A 9,598-nucleotide genomic window follows, 5' to 3' on the forward strand; every position below is an offset into this window, starting at 1 on the left:
CTTCTAACCTCCCAGCGGTCCTTGTTCATTCCTGGGCGTAAGCTGAACTAACTTTGGGAGGAACTTAGTTTATTGTTTATAGTTTGAAACAAAGATGAAAACAGCCCTTTCCCAAAACAAACCCCCTTCTTTCCTGAGGAGTAAACTGCCTTTGTAGGACTAACACATTAGCCAAAAGATTAGAAATTATGGTTTAGTAGTCATGCAGCTGGGGACTGCAAGATTCTAAAACTCCCCAGATTGCTCCTGGGGATCACATCACTGTTGTAAAACGTAAGATCAGTGCTTGAGATATTTTGCAGACCTTGTGCTGGATGGATCAGCTGGCACCACCCAGATGGATAAACGGGCTCACTGGGTCATGGTCTTGGGTCATTGGTCAGTTCCCCCTCCCAGGAACTGACCCAGCACAACAGGACAACTTAAACTCCCTAGGATTTCCTCTCCTGACCAATCAGAAATCCTGATTCACTGGCACCCCCCCGCCCACCCGCCAAATTATCCTTAAAAACTCTGATCCCCGAAGTCTCGGGGAGACTGATTTGAGTAATAATAAAACTCCAGTCTCCTGCACAGCTGGCTCTGTGTGAATTACCCTTTCTCTTTTGCCATTCCCCTGTCTTAATAAATGGCTCTGTCTAAGAGGCGAGCAAGGTGAACCCACTGACGGTTACAATTCTAGGGCTTTTGCCCTCAGCAATTCAGTACCGGCTCCTCAATGTATTCCAGGCCAGATGCAGGAAGCCGCGAGGCGGGATTCCCAGGGAGAAGCCAGGAGCCTGAAGCGGGCGTGCGGCGCTGCGGGGCCAGCAGGGGGCGCGCCAGGCGCGGGGAGCAGGAGGCCGGGGCGGTGGTTTCCGACTCTGCCAGCCGCGGTTGGAGTTCGTCCCATGAGACTGGTAGTGGCTTCCTGTTGTCTAGAGGTGGGCCTGATCGTCACCCAGCCCCACCCCAGGAATAGCAACGAAATCAAAAAGTGCCATAAACTGCTGGGCTGTGGCCGAGGGTGAACCCCGGCCCAGGGAGAGCACGGCAGGGAAGTCATAGGAAAACACAGCCGGCCCTGCCCGGGTGGACCCTGCCCCGCCAGCTGCCGGCCCAGGGGGCCCTCGCCTTGCAAGGAGCCAGCAGGCTGGCGGGAGAGGCGGGTTCACGACCCTGGGGGGGGGTCATCCCCAGGTCGGAAGGTACTGGCAGAGCGGGGGTACCAGGACCTCCAGGCAGGAGACGGCCCTGGACCACCCAGGCCAGCGCAGAGCCCTGGCGCTGATCCTTCAGAGCCAGGATGGAGCCGGGATGGGAGGAGATCGGGGGACGCTGCGCCACAGGCTTTGAGACGAGGAAGGAGCCAGGACCCGAAGAGTAGAGGAAGGCAGGAAGCCAGGCTGCCCCCAGAGCCTCTGCAGGAACCAGCCCTGCGCGCGCCTGGATTTTAGACCCTTCAGACGCTGACCTCCAGAGCTGTAGGATAATACATGCGTGCTGCTTCAGCCATTCAGCGTGTGGTCATTGTTATGGTAGCCGTAGAGAGCTGATATGGCCAGATGCGGCGGTATGGAGGAAGGAGCACTGCCATGTCAGATACATCTAGTTTCAATCATGCAGTGAAAGAAGCGTGGGAACCCAGGGCCTGGCGAGTGGCTTTTAAGTGTTTTCGTGTGCGTGAAATTGCCTAGACGCAGATTAAAGTTTGCCCTCGTTTTCTTGCCCGCAGGAACTGCACAGAGTGCACATTGGAAACCATGGTGATTTGATACACGCTGCCACGTCCACTCTGTGACTTCCTCCCCACCAGATTCACAGCAGCGGGACCTAAGGTGGGCTCCAGCCACTGCTGCACCAGGGGCCATCACTGCCTCCCAGGCTGTGGCTGTGCCCCTGCTCCTGGAGCTCACCCAGCCACAGCCTCCACCCCCAGGGAACCTTCTGGAGTTTGCGCTGGCCCTGGGTTCCTTCCCACAGGAGAGAGGAAGCCCGGCTGGACCCACGTGGCTTACTGTGAAATCAGCCAGTATGGCCTGCGGTGGGGAGAAGATCAGAAAGGTAGAGGACAGCACAAAAAGCCAGAAGGGAGAGACTGGAAGAGGAGGCAAGGGGAGGAGGGCGCCACTGTCCCCTCTGGGTCCTCTTCCTGAGAAGAAGTTGGACACAAGGAGGGAGGGGGGAAAGGAGAGAAGAGAAGGGAGAATGAGATGGAGAAGGAAGAGCATGCCAGAAAATCTCCGGAAAGAAGGGGCAAGGCCCAGTGGCTCAGGCCTGTAATCACAGCACTTTGGGAGGCCAAGGCAAGCAGATCACTTGAGGTCAGGAGTTTGAGATCAGCCTGGCCAACATGGTGAAACCTCATCTCTACTAAAAATACAAAAATTAGCCATGCACAGTGGGACATGCCTGTAATCCCAGCTACTAGGGAGGCTGAGGCAGGAGAATCGCTTGAACCCAGGAGGCAGAGGTTGCAGTGAGCCCAGATCATGCCATTGCACTCCAGCCTGGGTGGCAGAGCGAGACTCTGTCTCAAAAAACAAAAGAAAACAAACAAAAAAAAAGGAAGGGAAGGGGTGGCAACGATGCAAATCCTGCAGTCTCAGGCCCAGTGCCCAGGAGGACCCTGCACACCAGAGGCCCACGCCCCCTGTGAAGGGAGAGCTCCCAGCAGCTTTGCTTCTAGAGCTGGACTCCTCCTCTCAGCTGACACCAAGGACTCTGCAGGCCCACCCATGGCCAGCTATGCTCCTGCCTTGCCCTGCCTGAATCCAGGTCCCTTCCTTTGCCCTGCTGCCATCCTAGCAGGAGACAGAGAGAGGCCTCCTACTCAGAGTAGGGTGTTTGTGAAGGTGAAGGCAAACTTTATTTGAGATTTATTAACCTTGGTTGAGCAACTTCCAAAGGCTCTGCCACTGTGACCTAGGCATAGAGCAAGAGGAAATCCAGGATCCAAAGGGCCTTCCTTGGGAAACAGCCATCCAGTGGGAAGCCAGTGCCAGCCTGTCCTTTTCTCCTGCAGCTGCCTCTGGGCTCTGAAGGTCTGATGTAGAAATGGGGGAGCTGGCGCTGCACTGGGGAAAGTTTCTCTGGAAGTTTTTTTCTTTTCATTTTCCTAGAGGGGATTTCTTACTGGCAAAAATCTGGAGAATGGATAAGTAGTTGCCCACAGGTCATTGAGGGAGGAGAGAGCCAGGATCATGGCTACATAGACTCGGGAGGGCCTGGTGGGGTATTTGTCTCTTCCCTGGTGCCACCGGAGACAGTAAGTGCTAGGCCTTGCCACCAGGGCACCAGGACAAGCTGGGACAGGGCCAGGGACAGAGGCCAACAACCCTGGGGCCGTGGGGCCTCCTGCAGGCTGAAGAGGGTGCTGAGAGACCAGCCCTCCCAGCAGTGCAGGCCCCTTTGCAAGGAGCAGCTCATGCATTCTGCCCAGTCTGATGACTTTCCACCAGTCCTGACATGGCCAAGGTTTTCCTCGCTCGGTGACAAGGGAGGGATGCGGGATGTAGAAAACCCAAGATATCAGCCTTTCCGGTTCCAGCCCTGCCCGGGAAACATCAAAGGCATTGAACATTCCACACTGAGCTGTTTAGGGGGCACCACAAGGCGCTTAGATAAGAGGGGTCCTTGAGTATCTGGCTCCTCCATGCCACCCTCCCTGCCCTACATAGCCCCACTCTCCATACAGGCCACATGTTTCTGTCCTGTTTTGATGGGGCAGTAGCATGCCTTCACCTTGTCCAGTATGGCTTCATTCTTGACCCCCATGACCACTCCCGATGGCCTCACACTCCTCTACCCCTCACCAGCAGGGATGGGTGGGAACAGCCCCTCCAAGGACCCATCCCACCCGAGAGCCCACTCCTGTGGCTGCCACACTCATCCCAGGCCTGGAGAGGGTTTCTGCTCATCAGGACATCCTGTCCTTCAGGGCTTGGGATGCCAGCCCATGCACAGGAGGCTGTGACCTCAGGGAGGGAGCTCTGTTTCCTCTCAGGGCTGGGCAGTTACAGGGGAGGGGAGGAGGGGAGAGGCACAGGGGGCCAGGCAGGCTGCCAGAGAAGCCCAGAGGGCAGCACCTTCACTGGCCCTTCAAAAATCCATGCGCTGACCCCCAGGCTCCTGCTCCAGACCTTTTAAATTAGATCTCCAGGGAAAGGAGGAGAAAGGGTCAGAAGTTCTCATCTCAGTGCACACAGCCTGTGTTGCTTATCCTCAGAGGGCCCTGGAAAGGAGAATGAGCTGCGGAGTTGTCTGGGTGAAGGGGACTGGAGGCCAGGGGCTCCCCTGGAGAAGGACAGGTCAGGGCTCAGGGGAAGGAGGAACAGGCTGGGTGGGGCAAAAATTGGTGTCACCCCTCCTCTCCCATGGGCTTGCTTTGGGACACGTGCTCCCAGGGCAGCACAGTCTGTCTGCAGTCAGACCCAGGAGAATCAGACGATGCCTGGCAGATGACACATTGCCAGCAGACACTCGGAAGATGGCTGAGTGATAAATGAATGGACAGGGCACCGAGGAAGCTGTGCCCCTGCTGCCCATCACAAGGTCCTGCAGTGCCCTGCCCTCCTGCCCCACACTGTGCTAGGTGTTCATGCCAGCCCCTCACCCACCAAGTCACTCCTGTCTCTTGCCGATGTCCCAGAGGATGTGGGGTGAGACCCACCATCCACATGTGCCATGCACTGGCTCTGCTGAAATAAAGAAGATCCCTCTGGGTTAGGGAGGGCAGGTGAGAGGCCCTGGGGTCTGCACAGGTGGTGTCGGCTCAGGTTCCGCTTCTGCCTGCCAGCTGTGTGTCATGGGCAGATCAGCTCATTCTTCTAAAGCTCAATTTCCACTTCCACAGAACGCAGGCAACAGCAGCCCTTCATGGGGCTCTTGTGAGTCCTGTTATTTATCACACATGGAGTGTCTCCTAGAATTCTCTGGCACACAGTAGGAGCTTAATAACTGTTACTACCGTCATTCACAGATCCCAAAAGAATCCTTGATTGCTCTTTTATTCTGTTCCCAAATATGCTTACCTGCCTCTGTGCAGAGACCTTTGGGGATGGGGAAGGCGGTGAAGGGGGAGCACGTGGGCTCTGCCCCACCAAGCTCTTAGACACACCTGTTCCTATGCTGGGCTGCTGAGCCATGGATGGTCGCCTGGCCAGGGAGGTGCCCATCAGCACATCATGACTGACTGGAATGGAGCTGGGACAGACCTAAGGATGCAGCATTCTACAGATGAGAGCTGAGGCTCAGAGGAGTGAGGTGGCTTCAGCCACTCCAGCACAGCCATGCCTGTCCCCGGGTAGGCTCTGCTGTAAGCCATCCCTCCCCACTCCAACCCTGTTAGCTGGATTCCATTGTTCTCTCTGTTTTCTGGATAAGGAAACAGACTCAGGGTCACATGAAAATGAAATCCAGCTCTTCCCAACTCAAAAGCCAGCTGTGACTTCCTGTTGGCTGGGAACTGGCCCAAAGGCAGCCTGTGTGCCCTGTCCTCGAAGTGTCACTCAACCTTTCCTGTAAAAAATAGAACAACAGCACAGAAGCACTCCCATAAACTCACTGCCAGTGGGAAGAAAGCTTCAGAATGCAGAAAAGCTACCCAGCCTCCATGCCAGATGAATCTGAGAATCAGGAAAACTGGGGTCAAAAACCACTTAACGGGAGCCCAACTCCCAAGGAGCTCTTAGGAGACAAGGAGGAGTCAAGCCTTGGATTCCAGGCATTATCTGATTCCTTCCAAGCACGATCCCCAGACCCCAGATGCCAGGCCACCCACAGAGCCCTGACGTCCTCCTGTGGACACCCTCCCAGGGAGATGCCCATACTCCCCCAGGGATAAAGTCGCTTGGATACCACAGATGCTGCGGCCACACGGTGATGCTGGAGACTGGATGGAACTATAAAACATCAAGTTGCCTTTGAGAAGCTCTAGGGTCTGCAGCCCCAGCACCTGCACCTAGGTAGGATTTTTTCACCCCAAGCTTTTCTCTGTCTTGCATCCTTGCCGCCTTTCTGCCTATCTTCTCCATCTTCCTGGGAGCGGTGTTTGGCCTGCTCGCCCATCCACCTCAATGCACATGCCAGTCTCGGTTACTTGCCAACACCATGCAAGCTGCGGAGACACATAGAAGATGCACAACGTTTGCTCCCTGTCTACAGGGAGATGGCAGTCTCAGAGACGAAGCCAGACAAATGCCTCTGTCGTTTAAATCAATCATGTCCAACTACAATTGAGGACAAAGTAAGAGGACTGGTGATCTAATAACAGGAATTTAGAGAAGTGGGAACTCACCGAGTGGTCGGAGCCATCCTCCTGTGTTCAGGCTTGATGCATGAGTAAGATTGTACTATGTGGAATGGAGAGGAAGGGTGTGCTCGGCAAGAGGAACAGCAAGTGCAGAGGCTCAGAGGTTAAAGAGAGGAAACCAGAATGAGGAGTGAGGGCCAGAGTTGGGGCCAGAGAGAAATGCAGCTAGACTCTTATGGTAGTGGTGTGCTTAGCTGTGGTCTGTGCAGGATAGTTTCCGAATAGAGCAGGGAGACATGAATGCCCTGAGATCAAGGGCAGTGGGAAAGTGCCTTGTGGGGAGCCTGGTGTCTGCAGGCAGGCAGAGCAGGGACCAGGAATGGCTGATGGCTGGAATCGCTAAGCCGCATAGGATGGACTATTATAAGTTCAGCACCTGGACACTGGCCACTTCAGATCTGTCTATACTCAGTTGTAATCCAGGCCTTTACCATTGTCCTCCATATTTCCACCCAGCTTTCTTTTCCATTTATTGGAGAGCCAGGCCACCTGGGTTCTGGTGCTGCTGGATTCAGGCCCTGCCCTCAGGCTCATGGCAAGCAGGTAGACAAAGAGAAAAGTAGACAAAAAAGATGGGGAGAAACCACTAAGCCAATACCATACCCACATAAACTCCAAACTCACATGTCTTTTAACATGGCACTGGGTGCTCCTGCAGTGGAAATCCACACGTGTTGTGGTTACAGCATCTTGTCTCTGAAAAAACTTCACAACCACCATTGTGCTTTGCCCCGCATGGCCCTGCTCAGGGGTAACTGTCCATCTTCCCTAAAGGAGGAGAGGCTGCCTGATGTTCAGGGAGCCCAGAGGTCTTGGCCAAAGCCACAGCAATGCCTGTGGATATAGGCCCACAGAGCAGCCCTACTCAAACTAGGCCCTGGCCCATCAGAATGCTCTGCCCTACAAGCCCTGCCATCCCACCACCCACCCCTCTGCTGGGCCTTGTTGGGCTGCCATGGGAATGTGACTGGCCAGCTCTCAGTGCCCTGAAACCCATGAGGTAGACCATCGGGCCAGCCCAGCTGTTCTTGGATCCTTCCTGATGCATGCCAACATCTGGGGCCACTTGGGTCCCAAGGAGAATTGTTGAGCACCAGGGCAAGAAGCATAAGGACTCACACCATCCCTCCCAGGTTCCATCACCCATCACTTCACCTGGGCTTGCATGAGCAGCCCCATCAGGCATGAGAAGCACATAGCATGTCCTGCCCATGGGGAGGCCTCCCAGGGGAAACAGGCCAGGCTGGGGGGCCATGGGGCTTTACAAACATCTCAAAGGCAGCAAAAGGAGGACTTTTCCTCAGCCAATAGCACCCCAGGATTTGAGCCGAAAGTAGGATTCAAGACACATGACTCCTTGCTAGAGGGATGCCATTTTTAGGGTGAAAGTTTCCCCCAGTGAAAAAACTATGCCAGGAGGCCAGCTCAGGTCAGCATCTCCAGTGCCAAACTCAAACAGATAGTTGATGTCTGGTGATAAATAGTGAAAACTTCAAGGAAAGGAAAGGCCGGGCCCATGCTTTGGACATTTATGTTCACACATCAGGAACTTTTTGCCAAGTGCATAACCATTCAGAGGTACAAAAAATTAACAAGAGCCACAGAAAAGAGGGGTATTCTATAATATTGCATAATACATGGTGGACTTGTTAATCACTGTATCACATAGGCCAGTGCTTTATGCACAGACTTGCTACAGTGCTCTCTTTTCATTTACCCCAGGGTTTATCTCTACACTAAGTCTCTCCGGGAAGTTTAGATGCACAGCTTCTGAATCTCTTCATACCAGAAATCCTCCCAGCATCCCAAACCTTTTGTCGGCAGTTCCTGCCATTGGAGGAATTATTGCAAATGGTGCATTAGTTATCTATTGCTGTGTGACACATTTCCACAAACATACCAGCTTTAAATTCCTTGCAGTCATCATCTCGCAGTTTCTGGAGGGGCAGAAATCTGGGCTCACCTGGGTTCTTTTCCTTAGGAGGTCTCATGAGCCTTCAGCCAAGATGTTGACCAGAGTTGAAGGTCTCATCTCAAAATGTGACTCGGGAGAGATCCACTTCCAAGCTCATGTTGTCTTTGGAGGATTGGCATTTCGTGGGCTGTTGAATTGGCCACAAGTCCTGCCCACACTTAGGGGAAGAGGTGACATGAAGACCTGGATGCCAGGGGGTGGCATCACCAGCGGCCAGCAGGCTGGCTGCAGTAGGTGGCCTCTAGATTGCCCCAGCAGCCCCTGCTTGCTGGTATTCACAGCCTAGTGCAATTCCCTCTTCTTGAGTAACTCGCTGTGATGTTAGGATCTCTCAGGGTCAAGGGGATGCCACTTCTGTGACAGATGTGATTGAATAACATGAGATTGTAACATCCTTATTGACAGCAGACACTCACCCTTGCCAGCTTGTATGACGCTAGCTGCTACACCATGAGCTGTCCGTGTGGCCAGGAACTGAGGGTGTCCTGCAGCCACAGCCATCAGGAAATCAAGGGGCTCAGCATAATAACCCACAGAGAACCGAGTCCTGCCAATATCACAGGAGGGAGGAACAGCCCTGTCCCAGCCAAGATCTCAGGTAGGGATTAGCCAGGGTTCTCCAGAGAAAGAAAATTGATAGCGTATATATGTGGATATATGAAAGGGGATTTATTATGGAAATTGTGATTACAGAGGCTGAGGAGTCAGCCCCATAACCTGTCCTCTGCAAGCTGGAGACCCAGGAAAGCCCATGGTGTAGGTCAATCAGCATCCAGTGGCCTGAGAACCAGGAGCCCCTATGTTGGAGGGCAGGAGTAGATGCGTGCCTTAGCTCAGCAGATCCCCTCTTCCCCAGCCTTCTGTTCTGTTATGTTCAGGATGCCAGCCCACATCAGTGAGGACAATTCTTTTTTACTCAGTGTGATGGTTAATTTTGTGCGCCAGCTTGACTGGGTTAAGAAATACCTAGAGCACCGATAAAGCATTATTCCTGGGTGTGGGTAAGGCTGAGTGGGGAAGATGCCCTGGATGTGGGTAGGCACTGTCCAATCAGCTGGAGAGAATCCTAAAGAAAAAGGCAGAGGAAAGGTGATTATCCCGCTCTCTCTCCTGGAGTTAGGACACACTTCTGCCCTTGGTCATCAGAACTCCAAGCTCTCTGGCCTGTGGACTCCAGGACTCACACCAGAACCATCCCCCAGCCCCCACCACCCCACTGGATTCCCAGACATTGAGCCTGGGACTGAGAGTTACATATGGGCTTCCCTGGGTCTCCAACTTGCACACGGCTTATTGTGGGACTTTGCAGGCTTCATAATCATGTGATCCAG

General features: G+C 53.9%; 1 annotated feature.

The window, feature by feature from the left end:
* Positions 1,126 to 1,225: a silencer, noted in NCBI's record as "silent region_19167". NCBI's record gives its function as "represses an Ori minimal core promoter by ATAC-STARR-seq in GM12878 lymphoblastoid cells {active_cell/tissue: GM12878}" and the evidence as "EXISTENCE:reporter gene assay evidence [ECO:0000049][PMID:35858748]".

This window comes from Homo sapiens, chromosome 8, assembly GCF_000001405.40.
Source record: "Homo sapiens chromosome 8, GRCh38.p14 Primary Assembly".
In the NCBI taxonomy this organism is placed as follows: Eukaryota; Metazoa; Chordata; class Mammalia; order Primates; family Hominidae; genus Homo; species Homo sapiens.